We start from the raw sequence: 19,365 nt of genomic DNA on the forward strand, positions 1-19,365 counted from the left end.
GGCCATTTTCAAACTCCCAGATTCTCTCCCTTTTGATGCTTTTTGCTGATAATTATAGAAATTTTACTTTCCTTTTTCCCTCCTAAATGGAGCAGTATTCTGGTTTGGAGGATGGCTGCTATTCAAGTAGTCCTTGTCAGAAGCAAGCCTATGTTGTTGTATCTAAAGGTAAATTGCACATCTCTGGCAATTTTCCTTGCCAGCGCGTATACTGAAGCCATCCCCAGCGCTCGCCTTTGCCAGGTGGCCAGGCCTCAGGGTGGGGCTTGCTTGTCTTTCCCCTCTGCTAAGACCTGCATACTTAGTGCTCTGAGAACCTTTCCTCGCCTCACCTGCTCTCCTTGGTTTTTCTGTTTTTGAGAATGGAAAAAGTTCATTTTTGTGTTCCCATTTTCTAAAAAAAAAAAAAAAAAAAAAAAAAACTCACAAAAAAGCCCAAGCCTTTGTGGGGTCTGAGTCGTGGCGAGTGCGGCAGGTGAGGGTGCGCAGACCCACGACCCCGCCTCTGCGCTGCCGCCCCCCTTCCTCCTGGCGGGGCCGTGAGTCTGGAAACCATTTCCCTTCATTGCCTTGGCAGTGCTCCAGCCCTCCCGTGATGATTTCCCTGTGGCTGGTCGGGGGTCATTCAAGTCCAGGTGTGCCTTGCTCTTTAGGCATGATTTAGATTGGAATCTCCTGCCTTCTCTGAAGAACGAGTGCTTTCTGTCCATACCTCCTGCCTCCCCAAAGAAAAGAAAAAAACAGACATTAAAAGTGAGGCTCAGCCAGCAGGAATTTATAGTCAGAGTTGCCCCATGCATGTCAATTATGCTTACCTTACAATTTTAGAACACGGAGTATGTATTTCACCCTGTATGCCCTTGTCTGGAAAATAAAGGTAATTAAATCTCATGCCGTCATGATTTGAACCCAAAACAGCAATGTAAAACAAAGCCATACACCAAACAACTAGGTTTTCTAGGATTATATCTCCCCATAAAACATCAAGTATCCTCAGAGGGGTTTTGTAAAATCATAATACATTGGCTTTTAGGTCGACCAGTTGTCCACAGTAGAGGGTTGGCCAGGGGTGTCCAGGAGTGGGATGAAGGCCACAGCTGAAGAGACCATCTTCCCTGATCCCAGACAGCCCCTGTGACGGGCCTTTGTGCTGTGAGGGCCTGAACCACAGAAGCGAACAGCCGTTGCCAGCGCCAAGCTGGGCCAGGGCCCGGCCGTGCTGGCCTGCGAGCAGCCCGGGCAGACCTCCAGGCAGCAGGACAAAGGGGCGCTGCGGTCCTCAGCCACACAGCCAGGGTGGCGGGGATAACAGCCCCTTGTCATCGCAGGGTTGTGACATTGGCATGAGCCGCCCTCACAGCTGGACCGTCCTGGCGCTTGTCTTGGGCTGTGGAACGAGCCAGCCCAGCTGTACTGAAATGCCCATTCTTTTCTCCTTTCTCGTGCCCCTGTCAACAAGCAGACAGACAAAAGGGTTCTATTGTGGCTCATGCCGTGAGCATAACCTTTCTCTGCCATGGGAAGGAGATGGGTGTGCTCAATGGTGGCAGAGCTCTGTACCTGCACCTCACTTTGTGTGTGGAGGGGAATTGGGATTTGTGTTTTGTAGCCTCTAGGACAGAGCTCCTCCATGCTTGCGGGGTCGCACATTTTGGACGGGGCCTTAAGGAGTTTGTGTTGATATTCAAAGGAAGAATTCCATCAGCGTTGATCAAACGTGGCTCTGAAGACTGTGACGATGATGTCCCATGTGGCATTAAACACAAGCCGAGCTGCTGCTCCAAGGCACGCCATTCGTCCATTCGTTCAGTCCAACAAGCCTGGGCCATGAATTTTCTCTGGGACCCGCATCATCTCATAGTGGGGACACAGAAATGCTCCCTCCCAGCCCCTGCTCCTGGGGCTGTGGTGTCTGGTAGAGAGGGCAGGTGTCTAACATGGTTACAGTTACATCCGCTTGGTGGGACTTGATGACAAGACTAACGGGCAGCCAATGAGACCCCCGTCAGTGCTGGGGAGATAGTAGGGGAAAGGGCACTGAGCCAGGACAGTAAGCTATCCCTTGGCTCCTGTTCCTGTCTCTGGAAGGTCAGTCTGTCCTGGAGGAGAAGCCAACACCCATCTCTGTTCAGCACAACGGGCATGAGTTTTCTTATATTTTCAATAAAGAGCATGCCTTAGACTTTTTTTTTTTTTTGAGACAGAGTCTCGCTCTGTTGCCAGGCTGGAGTGCAGTGGCGCAATCTTAGCTCATTGCAACCTCCACCTCCTGGGTTCAAGTGATTCTCCTGCCTCAGCCTCTCGAGTAGCTGGGACTACAGGCGCCTGCCACCACGCCCGGCTGATCTTTGTATTTTTAGTAGAGACGGGGTTTCACCATGTTGGCCAAGATGGTCTCGATCTCTTGACCTCATGATCCACCCGCCTTGGCCTCCCAAAGCGGTGGGATTACAGGCACGAGACGCTGCGCCCAGCCAAGAGTATGCCTTATATTAAATGACAGCAGGTGTCTCTTGGCCCAGTGGAAATAATTGATGTGGTGCTATACTATGGCTTTATGTCTTTATCCTTGACACATGGGTTCTCCCCACAGTCCCCCAAAAAGAGAGGATTTAAATATGTATAGGTTTACTTACAAACATCTGCCCAAAGGGTATTAGAGTAGCATGGAAAGTGGAAAATCATTTAGACTTGTTGAACTTCTGCTTTGTGCTGAATACTGTGCTAGAAATTCAATGGACTCAGTGTCCCTGTGAGGAGAGGGTCCTGCTGAGCTGATGGGGAAGCGAAGCCCAGCCTGGTGCAGCCTGGCCTGGAGTCACACAGCGTGTGTGAAAGAGCCTAGAACCAAGCCGCGCCTGGCCCAGGGGGGAAGCAGCCCTGCCAGTGCACGCAGACTTGTTCCCGTGTCACTGACCTCATCCTCATCGTGGGTTGCTCTGGTTTGCCTTGGTCAATATTAATCATTTCCCCCTGCCTCCCAGCTTCACTAGTTTAACTATGACGTGCATGTGCTTTTGTGGGTACCCTAAGAGTCCAGGGGCGCTGCTAAGAAAGACAAATACACACACGTAGGGAAGAAACACAAGTACCTTGCGTCTTCCTAATCTAACAGTGTCTGGATTGCTTCAGATTCCTGGAGTAGCTGGACTGAAGGCAGAGATGAGGGGCTTGTTGACCTGGGAGCTCTTTATAGCTAATGCTGCTCGGCTTCAGTTCCTGAGGCCTGCTGCCGTAGGGCCTGCCTGCAAACGCACTGTCACCACCCCCCGCCGCTGCAGCCCCCCAGGAGTTACGCTTTTGCAGAAGACCCAGCTGCCTAAGTAAAATTAAACACCCTCAAGCTGTTTGAGGCTCTTAAAAACATTTTCTCAGCACTGAACTTCTCTGAAGATCTGAGACTATTAGCACAAAACCAAGAGTTCTCTCTAAACTGCTTTTCTCTTTCCCCTGAATGCAAATGAACTTCCCCTGCTGGTTTCCATTCATCTGACAGGTCATAATTGTGACGTTGGTAAAATAGAGAAAGTTCCCTTTTGAAAATTGAGCTATGAGAACTTTTTTTGTTAAAAAAAAAAAAATAGAATATTTGCTTATTTTAAAAATAGAGTGACACAGTGATAATGGTGTCATCATTTAAACTCTACCCTATAAACTCTAGTTTGGACATGTCTTGGCTTATTGGAAATAATGAAAGTATTAACGCTGTGGATTTTTTGTTATAGTGGGTGTCACTGTTAGGAATTGTGAGTCACAGACATCTGGTCATCGTGCCTTCAACCCACAAGCAGTTATTGCCTCACATTAGAAACAAGTTTGGCCGGGCACTGTGGCTCACACCTGTAATCCCAGCACTTTGGGAGGCCGAGGAGGTGGGGGGTGGGGGGATCACCTGAGGTCAGGAGTTCGAGACCAGCCTAGCCAACATGGCGAAACCTGTCTCTACTAAAAACACAAATATTAGACAGGTGTGGTGATGTGTGCCTGCAGTCCCAGCTACTCAGGAGGCTGAGGCAGGAGAATCACTTGAACCTGGGAGGTGGAGGTTGCAGTGAGCCAAGATCATGCCACTGCACTCCAGCCTGGGTGACAGAGTGAGACTCCGTTTACAAAAAAAAAAAAAAGAAAAAAACAAGTTTGCAGAAGGCAGCATGGGGCTGGTATAGGGGCCCCACTAAGTCCTCGAGGATCCAGGTTATCTCTTTCGGCCCCACTCTCCCAGCACTTAGTGTCCAGCTCTGAGGTTGTTTCATGGTCTAGAATGGCTGCTGGAACTCCAGCCAGGACACTCACACTGCAGTCTGGACCATGGAAGAAGAACTGAAGTCCAAAATGATACATGCCTCCTTCCTTTAAAGACCCTTCCCAGAAGTCCCACACACCGCTTCTGCCACTGTCTCCTGGCCAGAACCTCACCGTAAGGCCACACCAGCTGCAGGAGGAACTGGACAAGGTTCCAGTCTTGCTAAGGAAGAAAGGGAAGGCAGAATAAAAACGAGTGCACTTCACGCCCCACATCAGGACCTGTGGCCTTCGTTATAATTTAGGGTCTCTGTATCACAGTAGACAGACCCCGTGGTTAGAGGCCTGCTGAGTGTAGGTTTCAGGTCTTCCTGTCTCTTACCTTATCAAGTTATTTAAATTTATAACATAGCCAAGCGTGCGTCTATCCAGGAAGTGTGTTCACATCTAGTCAGCATGGTCATCTTGAAGGGCTCAGGGAAAGACCCTCATACCCCACCTTCACCAATCCCTTGGTCATGAAGGATGTTGGCTCCTCTCACCTGCACCCTCTACCCAATGTGATGTTTGTAGGCACCCCATGAATAAACATTTTATGAATGAGTTGATATTAGTGGATTACACGAGCAACTACATCATTTGAAAAAAAAAATGATTATAAGAAGCTAAGAGAAGTTGTGACACTAATCCAATACTGAGATGCTTGTTTTAGATGATGTCATACTTTCATAGCAGACACTAGAGAAGCGCCCTTTGCCCTCCTCCCCACTCCTGGGGCCTTCCCCACACGTGGCCTCAGAAACTTCTTTCCCACGCTTGGGCCTCCCAGGGCCGCCCCATCCTGCAGGCTCAGGGGCTCAGACTCTGAACTATTAGCTCCATACTAGCCCTGCGCTATCTGGGGAATAAAACACTCTCTGTACTCTTGTCTCTATAGAAAAACTTTTTTTCAGTTGCAGGATAAGCCAATTAGAAATGAATTTTGGGCACCAAACTGATTCATAAGTCGGATGTTGCTTATCTTCACTTTACTTTAAAATGAATTGCTTTTATGTGTCTTTCAAGGAAAAAAATATTCTCAAAAAATCTGTAGCACTAATGATTAGCCTTACTTTGGGCTAATTTCCCTTTTGATAGAAACGAATGATTGTACCAACAACTTAAATTTCCCTTGGGGCTGGGCACAGTGGCTCAAACCTGTAATCCCAGCACTTTGGGAGGCCAAGTTGGGCAGATCACTTGAGGTCAGGAGTTCGAGACCAGACTGACCAACATGGTGAAACCCCTGTCTCTACTAAAAACACAAAATTTAGCCAGGCTTGGTGGCAGGTGCCGGTAATCCCAGCTACTTGGGAGGCTGAGGCAGGAGAATCGCTTGAACCCGGAAGGCAGAGGTTGCAGTGAGCCAATATCGTGCCACCGCACTGCAGCCTGGGTGACAAAGTGAGACTCTGTCTCAAAAAATAAATACATGAAAAATAAAAAATAAATTGCGCTTGGAAGAATAAGAAGTTATTTATATTTAGTTTTTTGTTTTAAAAGTATGCATGGGGAAGCAAGACAGCTGATCCCCATCAAAATTAAGCTGCTGGGCTTAGAAAGTGTTTTGGGGGAAGGGGTTGTATTTTATTTTGCAGGTGGTTTTTCTTCTTTTTGACAAAATCATTAGGCCTTTGAAGGACATTTTTGATCTAAGCAAAGCAAAGATAAAAGGTAGTGATAGAAGGTGACGTTTTCACTTGCTCCCTAACACTTGTGAGTCAGGCAAGGAAGAAGGACAGACGTGACTCGTCTGGGACGGTCTGCACCGGAGCATGTGGGGGGCCTGGTCTGTGCGCAGGTCAGCCCTTCTGTGGGTAGTGGTTTTCTCAAGATGCCACTACCTGGCTCGGGTCTCCGTGACCTTGTCCTGCAGCTCGTTGCCTAGACAACCAGCAGGCGGGAGCCCAGACGCCGGTCCACACAGGCAGTTATCAGGGCCAGAGGAGTGGCAGAGACTCCAGCGAGCACTGGGGCATCCATGGCACCCGAGGCTTCCAGGCGCCTCCTGCCCATTCCACACAAAGCAGAAATCTGGCAGCTGGAAGCAGCATGGTCTCAGCCGGGGACCTCCTTAATGAGATACCTAATCAATGGGGAGATGCCGCTGATAGTCACGGCTCCCGCTGCATGGAAAGGGCATGCTCTTGATTTTGTACCTGGAGAGGGAAATGAGGAGTCCCAGTTAATTGGGAGATCCAGCAAGAGCCTCACTCTGGAGCCTCATAGTCTCCTGTGCCAGGGCGAGCTCCACCTTGGTGACAGAAGGCGCAGCCCTCTGGCTGCCCTTTTCATTTCTTTTCTCTTTTTCGTCTTTTTCTTTTCCTTCCTTCCTTCCCTTTCATTTATTTCATTTTCTTTTCTTTTTGTAGAGTCAAGGTCTCACTCTGTCACCCAGCCTGGAGTGCAGTGGCATGATCACAGATCACTGCAGCCTCAAACTCCTAGGCTCAAATAATCTTCTTGCCTCAGCTTCTTGAGTAGCTGGGACTACAGGCGCATACCACCATACCTGGCTAATTTTTAAGTGTTTTTGTGGAGATGGGGTCTTGCTATGTTGCCCAGGCTGGCCTCAAACTCCTGGCCTCAAGCGATCCTCCCGCCTCAGCCTCCTGAAGTGCTGGGATTACAGGCATGAGCCACCACGCCTGGCATGCCCTTTCTAAGTGTGGAGTTTGTGAATGTGTCCACTTTCCTCACACTCCCATATGCCTGGCCAGGCAGATTCTCATCAAAAATTAGAAAAGCAGATGTTTCCATTTGCAAATGTGTAAGTACGCTGTCTATGATCACTGAAGCTCTGACTCAGCCACTGTGGTCAGAAGCTGGGAGCCACTAAGTTCAGCACAGCTGCCAATCCCCTGTAGCTTCCAGTGCCTCCAAGAACCTTATATAAAGCATGTGAAGTTGGTCACAGCCCGTCACCCTGTTTCTGCCATCTCCGTCCACAGCCCCTGGATATTACTAAGAAGCAAGCACTCTTCCATGCCACACTACTGCCTCTGGTAACCCCATAAGAGGAAGACCTGGGCTCATCCCCAGCAGGGTCAGAGAAAACATGTTCTTTAAGCTCACGCATGATGGCGTTGGGTAGTTTGCCTGATACAATGCATAGGCCAGTGTTGCTTTGGATTCTGAAAAATGATATAGAGCAATTATTCATAAACTTTTTATTTATTTATTTATTTTGAGATGGATTCTCGCTCTGTTGCCCAGGCTGGAGTGCAGTGGTATGATCTCAGCTCACTGCAAGCTCCGCCTCCCGGGTTCACGTCATTCTCCCGCCTCAGCCTCCCAAGTAGCTGGGACTACAGGCGCCCGCCACTATGCCTGGCTAATTTTTTGTGTTTTTAGTAGAGACGAGGTTTCACCGTGTTAACCAGGATGGTCTGGATCTCCTGACCTCGTGATCCACCCGCCTCAGCCTCCCAAAGTGCTAGGATTACAGGCGTGAGCTACCGCACCGGGCCTATAAACTATTATTAATTAATCATTGTTAACCTAAGTGAAGAGTGTTCAGGATTCATTCTTTGGACCAGCCAGCATTTTAACTGTACAGTAAGTCCCCCCCTTAACATTGTCAATATATGATTAGAAACTGTAATTTTAAATGAAATGACATGTGACAAAATCAATCACAAAAACAAAGTTGAAGGAAACAGCGTTACCCGAGGACTTGCTGTATGTCATTTCGTTTACAGTTGCAGTTTACATGAACCTATCGGCAGCCTTAAGTGAGCATGTACTACATTGGGGGTAGTGAAATGGGTTTAAGTTTATAGTGCTTTCGTTGATGGTTTTCAAGTAACAAAAGAAACAGGCCTGCTGCTGAGCCACCCCTGGCCCCCTTTGCAGCCGGCTGTCCTTCTGTGATCACTGTGAATGTGAATGTCCTCAGCTTCCCTGCTCCAGGGTCAGTGATCGGAGTGCCTGTGATGTGCTTACAGCCTGGGCTGGGAGTGGAAGGAGGCTCTGGTTTAGCAGATAAAGAGAATCCCTTGGCCTTTTTACTGATTTTTGTGTTTGCCTTAGAAGATTTAGGGATCCTTCAGTCCTTGTCAAGAGGGTTCCTGAATCTTTTATTTGGCTTCAATGCACATTGAGTAAGAAACCGCAGAAGGAAAGCAGGGAAGGGAAGAGTCAGCGGGAGGAGAGGAGATTTGCTTCTAGTTGTCTTACAATTCCCATCATGCTTCTGAGTAACATTCTCAATTCCCAGAGATCACCATTTTTTAGTTAAATTGGGGCTTCCGAATTCTAGCAACCAGCAGGTGTTTTGGAGGTAGCTTGTTGACCCCTCTTTCATCCAAAAGTGATCATTTTTACGGGGGTTCCTCACAGAGTAGGAATTTGTTAGCAGTGCATACCCGTGGCAAGAGCTGTGGCTAAAGCACATGCCCTGTCCCTTCCCGATAGCAGCAGCGCAGAGGGCACAGAGTGGCGCAGGCGAGACTGCCACAGACGCCAGTGAGGCCAGGATGTGCTTGATGGCTCTGCATGCCTGCTCTGTGGGGCTGGAGGTGTGCCCTCCTGTGCTGTGTGGATGTTATTAGATGTTGGAAAGCTGCAGTGTTCATTTGGGAAGGAGTTACTGCTCTGAAAGGTTTGTTCTCCTTTATTTTATTTTATTTTTATTTTTATTTTATTTTATTTTTTTGAGACGGAGTCTCGCTCTGTTGCCCAGGCTGAAGTGCAGTGGCATGATCTTGGCTCACTGCAGCCTCCGCCTCCCGGGTTGAAGCGATTCTTTTGCCTCAGCCTCTTAAGTAGCTGGGATTACAGGTACCCACCACCACGCCCCACTAATTTTTGTATTTTTAGTAGAGATGAAGTTTTGCCTTGTAGGCCAGGGTGGTCTCGAACTCCTGGCCTCAGGTGTTCTGCCCACCTCGGCCTCCCAAAGTGCTGGGATTACAGGTACCCATCACCACGCCCCACTAATTTTTGTATTTTTAGTAGAGATGAAGTTTTGCCTTGTAGGCCAGGCTGGTCTCGAACTCCTGGCCTCAGGTGATCTGCCCACCTCGGCCTCCCAAAGTGCTGGGATTACAGGTGTGAGCCACTGGCTGCTCTCCTTTAAAGAGAAGGTTTGTTCTCCTTGATTCTCCTGTACAGTTTTTTCTTAAAATTTGTTTAGAAATCTAGGAGCATGCTGGGCTCACATTATAGGTGACAGGAATAGGCTGACAAAACACACACCTTGCATAAGCCAACAAGCATTGGACTAGAATTCATTTGCTGTCAGATTTGGGGGCAGTGACAGTCTTTTGGTAGAATTGTAATCAAAGGAACAAACTCAGAGAACAATCTGGGTAAAGAGACTGGTGTCAGGTTAAGTTCAGATCTGTAGACCCTTCTCAGGTGGTGAAGCCGAGACCACAGACACAGATCCTGGAGAGGGATTAGAAGCCAGACATTCCGTGGGTGACGCGCTCCTTCTCCTGTTCCCATCTCCGCATTTCCTGGTCAGGAACCTCATGAAAGACAGCTGCATTTTTTCCAGGCTGGTATCTCTCACCAGAGTGAGGCTTGTGGGCTTCATGCATAGCGATGGATACAGAAGCCTTGGCTGTTGGTGAAGACACTGAGGTGTATGGATATATTGACCACTGTGGGGAAGGCTCTAACTCTTGGTCGTTCCACTTGCTCACTGCTCTTCTTTGATGGTTGAGAAAGTGGTAGGATGACCAGATTTGCAAAAGCCCATCTCACTATTATCAAATTTAATAGTGGATGTTCTGCCGTCTGCTATTATTACCCATGGTTTGCTTTTGTGTGTGGGTATTAGAAAGCCTTTTAGGGAAAAAGCAGAATGTGGCTGGGCTACAGCTCCTGAGGAAGCCGGCCATGGCAGCACTCTTCCCATGCTGTCCCTGGGCCTAGGAGAGCAACCGCTCTCTGTTCACAGTGTGCCGTCCAGACCCCTATTTAGATCCCTGTCATGTGGTAGTTCATCCACCTGGACATCTTCCTCACCATGGCAGCAGCTCCTTGGGAGCAGGAACTATGTCCTGTTCGTCTTTGTACCCCTAGCACCTGCTATTTAAGAAGGACTCCAGAAGCCTCGATGTGCGGCAGGACCATGGCCGATGTGTCTCCCTGGCACCTCTGTCTCAGGGTTAACTTTCCTCGCTGCCTGAGAGCCCCCGGCTTTGACGCTCATGGAGCCCTGGCATTGAGTGTGAGCACTTCACACTCTACCTCTCTCAGTTGGCCCTCCGAAATGCCTCAATTTAGGAGTGGTGCCCCACTGTGGAGGGTATTTTCAGGACCATCTTACAAATTATTGTGAAGTGTTGGAAACAAAGAGCTTCCTGCTTCTTTTCAACCTGGTTCTACCATGTTCCAAGCTGTAGCCAAAAGGAAAATAAATCAGAGCTTGAAACTAGCCTTTCTGATGGGAATATCTATCTGGGACACCCCTCCCTTTTTGTCTCTTGCCCCCATACGTCTCCTCCTTACAGCACAGGCTGTTTGGGAAGGAGGACAGGATATGTCATCTAACTTTTTTTCCATCCCTAGCTGAGTCACTGATTAAAAACAAATGAACAAACAAAAACCTAAAAAACCTTCCAGAAATACAAAGGAAAAGGGTTTGTTTGTTTTTTATTTTAATTTTTATTTCTGTAGGTTTTTGGGGAACAGATGGTATTTAGTTACATGAGAAAGTTATTTAGTGGTGATTTGTGAGATTCTGGTGCACCCATCACCCGAGCAGCCTTCACTGTACCCAATATGTAGTCTTTTATCCCTCACTTACCTCCCACCCTTTCCCCTGAGTCCCCAAAGTCCATTGTGTTATTCTTATGCCTTTGCATCCTCATAGCTTAGCTCCCACTTGTGAGTGAGAACATATGATGTTTGGTTTTCCATTCCTGAGTTACTTCACTTAGAATAATAGTCTCCATCCAGGTTGCTGCAAATGCCATTAATTTGTTCTTTTTTATGGCTGAGTAGTATTCCATGGTGTATATATACCACAATTTCTTTATCCACTCATTGATTGATGGGCATTTGGGCTGGTTCCATATCTTTGCAGCTGTGAATTGTGCTGCTATAAACATGCGTGTGCAAGTATCTTTTTCGTATAATGACTTATTTTCCTCTGGGTAGATACCCAGTAGTGGGATTACTGGATCAAATGGTAGTTCTTTCTACTTTTAGTTCTTTAAAGAATCTCCACATTGTTTTCCATAGTGGTTGTACTAGTTTACATTCCCACCAGCTGTGTAAACGTGTTCCTTTTTCACCGCATCCACGCCAACATCTGTTATTTTTTGATTTTTGGATTAAGGCCATTCTTGCGGAGTAACGTGGTATTGCATTGTAGTTTTGATTTGCATTTCCCAGATCATTAGTGATGTTGAGCATTTTTTCCTATATTTGTTGGCCATTTGTATATCTTCTTCTGAGAATTGTCTACTCATGTCCTCAGCCCAGTTTTTGATGGGATTGTTTGTTATTTTTTCTTGCTAATTTGTTTGAGTTCCTTGTAGATTATAGATATTAGTCCTTTGTCAGATGTATAGATTGTGAAGATTTTCTCCCACTCTGTGGGTTGTCTGTTTACTCTGCTGACTGTTCCTTTTGCTGTGCAGAAGTTTTTATGAAGCAAGTCTTTGGGGAGGATATTTTGTCTCATAAAAGTTATTACAAACATCAAGAAAGTGGATTCCAGCCGGGCGCAGTGGCTCACGCCTGTAATCCCAGCACTTTGGGAGGCCAAGACGGGTGGATCACGAGGTCAGGAGATCCAGACCATCCTGGGTAACACGGGGAAACCTGTCTCTACTAAAAATACAAAAAATTAGCTGGGCATGGTGGCGGGCGCCTGTAGTCCCAGCTACTTGGGAGGCTGAGGCAGGAGAATAGCGTGAACCTGGGAGGTGGAGCTTGCAGTGAGCCGAGATTGTGCCACTGCACTCCAGCCTGGGGGACAGAGCGAGACTCTGTCTCAAAAAAAAAAAAAAAAAAAGAAAGAAAGAAAGAAAGAAATAAAGTGGATTCCTCTTCCAGTTTCTTGCCTAGCTTAAAGCCATGTAATTCTTGCCAGCTCACATTGTGACTTTTCTGGCTTTCAACACTTTGATTGGGATTTACCATTTAATTAAATAAGCTTAGGAGCTGGAGGGTGGGTGCTGTCCGGGGTCAGTTCAGTCAACCCCTGGTTCTCTTTGCACTTCACAGAATGTGGATTGTCTCTCTGTTCATGGGCTCTGCTGGGCTCTCTGAGCTCAGAACCTTCAGATTTGTTGGGTGGGACCACAGATAGTCATGGTAAGTGCAGTCATCCTTCCCAGCTGTAGCAGGGGGATGTCCGGAGGCTGTGGAAGGTAGAGTGTTAGGATAGAGATGGCGACAGTGTGGCCATCTCAGGAGGGCCTGGGGTGCCCATGAGCTCCGCTCAGAGAAACTGCCAGCTGAGCAGACGGGAGGACCTGGCTTTGAAAGAAGTTACAACATTAAGCAAAACAACATGTCGTTGTCTGTGGAAAGGAATCCTTAGCATAAGTTTTTGAAAATATGATCAGGTGTCTTGACCCAACACTTAAAAAGTGAAGTCCACAGGGTTTAATTTCCTGGTGATATTTTTGTTTTTATTTGCGGTTTAGCATTTTTTTTTTAAGTATCCGAATTTGCATGAGGCTAGTTTTGTATTTCTGCAAGTTTCAGTCCATGTGATTTGAAGCAGATGTCATAGTCACACAAACAGAGTCCATAATGGGAAAGTCAACTCCTGGGCATGCTGTTCCATGCCTACATGGACTGGAAAGAAATTTGATTACTTTGGGAAATTAGGCTAATATTTCAGGGGTTGTGTAATGGACAACAAAGGACATGTTCAGCAGCTTTTGAGAACTGAGAGAATGGAGGATTGAGGACCCTGCAGCGGCAGTCCTGAGTCTCCAAGCGCGGCTGTGTTGAGATGGGTTTGCTGGCTGCTGGGGAACATGCCTTTGCTCAGCCGAGGACAGCTTTTTACTGTGGTGATGTTAGAAATGTGGGCAGAGTGAGTTATGACTCAGTCTATTGTAATTAGAAAAAAGAGCAACCACTGAGAAAAGTCCTCAGAGAAAACTTAAGAAATGGGGATGTTCTTATTCTCAGAAAACTAAAACGGGAAGTCATTCTTGGTGATAGTGAGGGGAAACGCAAAAGCGAAGGGAGAGGGGAGCTCTGTGTGCGGCGTCTCTAGCATTGCACAGTCCTCTTTAATGAATAAATGGAACCTTAATAAGGAAAAGTACCGGCTACATTATCGGTTGCAAATTGATTTGCTGTAGGCAAATTCTAATGTAGTTTGGCCATGTGAGGCGTACCTCTTAAGAAAACAAAATCAGGTTGCCTGAAAATGGACTCTTGCTTTCCAGGTGAAAAAGGCACTGGAAACACCACACAGCTTTGTCCTGTAATGTTTCCTTACTCTGGAATCATGAATGGGCTTTTCTCGTGCTATATCTAAAACTCAGCTCTGATTATTATGTTTAAAAAGAGGCTGTGCTTACTTTCCACACCCAAATGAGGCTGAGAGTGGCTGTGAGGAAGGGAGGTCAGTGCCTCCTACTTCTTTTTGGTGGGGCAAGCAGGGGAGGGAGAATCCATCTCTAAAAACCAGTGGTTCTTAACCTTTGAGAATCTGAAGCAGGCCAAAGACTTTCATCCCAAAGCAATGCAAATATACCAAGTCTCATGTGTAGTTACGGGGTTTGCAGACCCCTGAAGCTCATCCGTGGGTCTCAGCTAAAAGCACCTGCTACAAACTCAGTAAGTGCTTTTTCCCCATTAAATAATTGGTGGCATCATCTGTCTGATGAATTACCACCTTACTACTTTATTTTCTAATTTTAACTGTTATTTATATTCCCCTGGAACACCTTGAAATTTTCCCTAAAACTAGATTGACTAATCTGGGTCCCTCCTTGTCTCAGGAGATGGGGATGGTCTCCCACTTCCACCTGTGCCCTCCCTGGCCAGCACATCATCATTGTCATCGGAACCACCTTCTTTGTAACTGTCCTCCTCCAAGCAGTGTTTGCCAAGCATGGTGCTAGGTGCCAGAGAATAAGCTAGAGGACAGGAAAGAAGAAACACATAGAAGTATTAACCTTCAGCGGAAGAAGGCGTGCCCACCTGGGAGAAGTGACAGTGGCGATCTTATAGAGCCTGTGGCATGCCCTGCAGATCGTGCACACAGCTGAATAAGATGCTGGTGCTGGCTTCTTAGCGAACCATAATATATTTAGCTTGGAGCAACTTTTGTTTTTTGCTAGGATGAAAAACAACCTGAAACTCAGGATACATACAAGAGATCAAAATAAAAACCATGAAAGTACAGTGACCCATTTAAAAGTTGTCCGGGTCTTTTTTTTTTTTTTTTTTTTTTTTTTTTGTCAGAGATCATGGTAGACCACAAATCGCTGAGTTAATAATATAATGCTATTTGGCCGGGCGCAGTGGCTCACGCCTATAATCCCAGCACTTTGAGAGGCTGAGGTGGGCAGATCACGAGGTCAGGAGATCGAGACCATCCTGACTAACACGGTGAAACCCCGTCTCTACTAAAAATACAAAAAATTAGTCAGACGTGATGGCACGTGCCTGTAGTCCCAGCTACTCTGGAGGCTGAGGCAGGAGAATTGCTTGAAGCTGGGAGGCGGAGCTTGCAGTGAGCCGAGATCGCACCACTGTACTCCAGCCTGGGTGGCAGAGCAAGACTCCATCTCAAAAAATAAAAATAAAAAAAATATAATGCTATTTGTTTAAAATGATAGTGCTGATTTATGAATGTGGGAAATATCTAAAAATATCTACAAAAGAAGTGATTATTGAATTACAGTCATTTGTTTATATGTAGTTATTATCAAATAATGATCAAGTTGTCAGTCTCTGATTTTTATATGTAGTCATCTGTGACACATGGAAAATGTGTAAGTGGGCCTGTCCCTTTTTACTAGGAAGTGACTTCCTCCTACCTTCTGAGCCAAAGCTCTCCAGTCTCCACTTAGCCAGGGGATCTCTTTCTTCATGGATGACCAGTAAGGGGAGAGAATTCCTTATCCCCATGTAGTAGCTGAAGGGCATTATCTTGGCTGGTGATTGGCATGGATGGGAAAGGCCAATGTAGTTAAAGTCTTCCTGGGATCATAGTGAATTTCAGGTTTCAACTGGTGGAGACATATCACTGGACTTAGCTTCCCAGGCAAAGTCACCAAAGATTCTATGTAAATAGCATTGAAATGCCACCTTTGCCTATCACAAGAATGTATGCATTAAAGAGACTGTTGCAAGTTATCCTGGACACCACCCTGCCATTTGCGGTATTCTTTTTCCTGTGGAAAAACTAGTGCCCAGTTCTGAGTAGCCGACTTCTATCTGAACTTTTGAAACGCAGTCTGTCATGCGTTGTCTGGGGGCCATAGACTTGCCCCTCTACAGTGTCCCTTCTCAGCAGGGCTGCTGTCCGATGCTGTGAGAGCCAGGGCCCCTGAGTCTCCCTTCTAGGGCCCCTAGTCACACTGCCTTCCTTCCTTCCTCTAGTTCACTGCATGTCAGCCATAAATGAGTCTGCATTATTAACGTGATGCTTTTCTCATGGTCTGTGCTCATCAATTTCTCATTTCCACTGACACTTCTCCTCAGGATGACTTTCAGGGCTCCAGGCTGCTCTTCTTGCTCCCACTTCCTGTGTTTTATTCTGTGCCTCGTGCATACTGTGCACACTCCCTGCTCAAAGCCTTCAGTGGCTTTTCCCTGAACAGGACAGGATGAAGCACCAGCTCCTGGCCTTCCCTGCTGCTCTGGAGAGGCTGCCTGGGTCTAGGCACAGCTGTGGTCACCCCACCTTGGCTTGTGACCCCACCTTGGCTTTCTTGGCTTGTGACCTTTTCGTCATCTCAAATCCTTTGGCTTTTCTGAATCACTCCCTGGGCTCTCTGTGCCTGTCAGGTGGCAGCACTGTCTCTGCAGCCAGAGGATGGGCCCCAGAGGGCCAGGGATGCATCAGGCTGCTTGGTTCTCCTGATGCTTGATGAGTGTCGGCTGCTGCTGGGAGGATGTTCTTGGGATCAGTTTGAATGGCAATGAGAACGTCCCACCTCAGCCATCTGCAGGACTCTGCTGGAATGTGCAGGCGATGGCACGGTGGCCACTGCTGACAGAGGCACAGGGTGGCCATCCTGGTCCCCAGACTTCTCGGGGGACTGGCCAGCAGTCACTTCCTTTCCCAGGTGACTTGGCCGTGCCCTTGTCCAGAGGCAGGGCTCCAGACTTCTTAATAGCCACAGGTCTAGGAATCTGCATTTTCCTGGCTTATGAAACTGTCAAGCTGTCTTTGAACTACGGCTCCCTTTCTAATCAAGCCTCTGGCAAAGAGAAAAGCAGCATCGCTTAACTATTAGAAGCTTGCCCTTTTAAAAATAACCTCTTCAGCGTCTGGTTTTGCAATTGAATAATTGCCAGGTTGCTGGTTGGTGGATACCTGGTTTGTGTTCTGTATACAGGTTGAGTGTCCTGTATCCAAAATGCTTGGGACCAGAAGTGTTTTGGATTTTGCATCTTTTGCAGATTTTGGAATATTTGCATATACAGAATGAGATATCTCGGGGATGGGGCCCAAGCCTGAACACAAAATTTATTTATGTTTCATATATATGTTATACACATGGCCTGAAGGTAATTTTATGCAGTGCGTAATAATTTTGTGCATGAAACAAAGCTTGAGCTGCATTTTGATGTGACTGGCTCAGGAGGTCAGTGGTGGACTATTCCACTTGTTGTGTCATGTCGGCTCTCAAAAAGTTCGGGACTTTAGAGCATCTCAGATGTTAGATTTTCAGATTAGGTATGCTCAACCCCTAATACATTTCTGCTAGTTGTTTTTTTCTTATCCTGCAGTCTATGTACAGGCCTGTCTCTCATTTTCTGTCTCTACTGAACTGTCTGGAGACAGTCTAGCATATTCAAACAGCCGAGCTGCTGCATTCTGTTTTCCCTGGGTAGAATCTCCTAAGTTCTTTGGAGCCTTCTTTCTGGGAACATGAAAAAGGGACTCATGCAGTTATAAAAAGAAACTAGAGATCATCCAGCTATAAAATTGCATCTTAGCATTAGCTTCTGTTTTGTCTACCATTCATTTTCTATTCATCCTTGTCTAAAGTTTGTCCAGCAATTTGAACCTGGTAATTTTAGTTCTGTGGTTTCTATTGGCTCCTAGACCCTTACCAGTGGTTAAAAATACAAATTGCAAGCCTGTCTTGGTGGGCATGTATACAGACAAAGCTGAGGACTTTCTGCACTGCTGGATCTGAGAATCCTGAGCTGAGCAGCCATGCTTACCAGCACCTTGTGCGTATGGATGCATGAGCTTGTGTGTGTGTGTGCACTGTACACTCATGTGCAGAGCTATGCACACACGTATGTGTGTGCATGTATGTTCATGTGTGCATGTGTGTGGTAAGGGGTGGCAGGGACTGGACTGCAGCATTTGACGGTCCACCCCCGCCCATCCGTTACAAACATGCATGTATCTTTCTGTGATTTATTCCACACTGAGGGGCTGTGAAAGGAGCATGGCCTTGGGGGCATTATAAATCCAGATTGGAGTCAGCCCCTAGCTCTCATGCATCTGTAATCAAGTGACATTACCCCACCCAGCATCAATATTTTCTACTAAAATGGGCATAGTGATTTATGCCAAAAATGAGGGAAAAAACAAAAAAACCTAAAGCAGTCGGCACAGGGCCTGACACAGAAGCACTCAGCAATGGCCAGTTTTCTTTGCCTTTGAATGGCCTAAAAGGGCAAGAGGTGACTGGGGAGTGAAGGAGAAAGATGAATGTGTATATCAGTTCTGTGTGCACTGTGCTGGACCATAAGTGGGCATCCCAGGCCGCAGCATGGTAGCTGCGCCATCAATCAAAGAACTGCATCTAAACCGCCTGGAGTGGGATTTGGCTTTGAGAGCAGCCTGCCTTTTCCAGGCAGATGCAGTTCCCTCCCAGGCTTGCCCGCTAAGGCCCCCAGCCGAGGGCAGTGTTTGCAGCTCCTCTGCTCTGTCCACTTGGGTTCCTTTGAGCGATGGGAGGAGGCATTTGACAACACATGGGCATCAATACCTGTCCCCACTGGGCCCAGGAGAGATGCAGCATGGCAGGAGGCCCACACCCTCCTCAGCCTTGCCACGAGCTCTGCTCCTGGGTGGCTCGCCTCCCATGTGGCTCCACTTCATCTCTGCACTTATTTATTTATTTTTAATTTACTTTTCTAGAGACGAGGTCTCACTCTGTCACCCAGGCTAGAGTACAGTTGCACGAGAATAGCTCACTGCAGCCTCGACCTCCCAGGCGCAAGCAAACTTCCTGCCTCAGCCTCCCAAGTAGCTAGGACTATAGGTGCATGCCGCTGTGCTGGCTAATTTTTAAATTTTACATTTTGTAGAGATGGGGTCTTGCTATGTTGCCCAGGCTTGTCTCCAACTCTGGCCTCAAGTGATCTTCCCACCTCAGCTTCCCAGTGTGCTGGGATTATAGGGGTGAGCCACCGCGTCTTGCTTGTATACTCATCTGAATCAAACCTTAATAGGTTTCCATGCTGAAGAGCTCTTTTTGGTCTCTGGGTCTTTTTGATTATTTCACCCGCACCATAAGACTGTGAATTATAGCTCTTATTTTAAAATTTATTTACTAGCCACAGTGGACTAGATGCTATCCAAAAAATTAGAAGCTTTTGTAATATTAGTACAAAATTATATATAAATACATGTAATTTAATATTTTAGTATTTCTTTTATATTCTCTCATTTTTTTCTAAAACACTGTGAAATTGTTAGGGCAATATTTGTAGTCTAAATCTGCAGATGACAAGGTGAGGTGGAGAGAGGATGGCTGACAGACTGGGGCGGCCTCCTGATGGCCACGTGTGTGGTGACTGACTTTTGTTACCGAGACCTAGGGGAGGGACGTGGTGGTCACGGCACCAACTTTGAGATGCCTAAGATCTAGTTAGTAGTACTAGAATGCATGGGATTGGGAACTTTAAATGAGTTGTAAAAAATAAGTGTTATTAGAGTTCCAAAAAGAAAGAAAC

General features: G+C 46.9%; 1 protein-coding gene across 48 annotated transcripts in view, besides 5 other annotated features; it reads left to right on the plus strand.

The window, feature by feature from the left end:
* The window catches only part of LDLRAD4 (low density lipoprotein receptor class A domain containing 4), a 435,073-nt gene that overhangs the window by 346,503 nt on the left and 69,205 nt on the right, over positions 1–19,365 (plus strand). The window lies entirely within an intron of this gene.
* Positions 2,484–3,111: an enhancer, noted in NCBI's record as "H3K4me1 hESC enhancer chr18:13566667-13567294 (GRCh37/hg19 assembly coordinates)". NCBI's record gives its function as "activates a minimal SCP1, AML or CMV promoter by ChIP-STARR-seq in primed H9 embryonic stem cells {active_cell/tissue: H9 hESC(primed)}" and the evidence as "EXISTENCE:reporter gene assay evidence [ECO:0000049][PMID:30033119]".
* Positions 2,693–2,772: an enhancer, noted in NCBI's record as "active region_13120". NCBI's record gives its function as "activates an Ori minimal core promoter by ATAC-STARR-seq in GM12878 lymphoblastoid cells {active_cell/tissue: GM12878}" and the evidence as "EXISTENCE:reporter gene assay evidence [ECO:0000049][PMID:35858748]".
* Positions 4,793–4,942: an enhancer, noted in NCBI's record as "active region_13121". NCBI's record gives its function as "activates an Ori minimal core promoter by ATAC-STARR-seq in GM12878 lymphoblastoid cells {active_cell/tissue: GM12878}" and the evidence as "EXISTENCE:reporter gene assay evidence [ECO:0000049][PMID:35858748]".
* Positions 7,005–7,054: an enhancer, noted in NCBI's record as "active region_13122". NCBI's record gives its function as "activates an Ori minimal core promoter by ATAC-STARR-seq in GM12878 lymphoblastoid cells {active_cell/tissue: GM12878}" and the evidence as "EXISTENCE:reporter gene assay evidence [ECO:0000049][PMID:35858748]".
* Positions 7,145–7,194: an enhancer, noted in NCBI's record as "active region_13123". NCBI's record gives its function as "activates an Ori minimal core promoter by ATAC-STARR-seq in GM12878 lymphoblastoid cells {active_cell/tissue: GM12878}" and the evidence as "EXISTENCE:reporter gene assay evidence [ECO:0000049][PMID:35858748]".

The sequence above is a fragment of the Homo sapiens genome, chromosome 18 (assembly GCF_000001405.40).
Source record: "Homo sapiens chromosome 18, GRCh38.p14 Primary Assembly".
Taxonomy (NCBI): domain Eukaryota; kingdom Metazoa; phylum Chordata; class Mammalia; order Primates; family Hominidae; genus Homo; species Homo sapiens.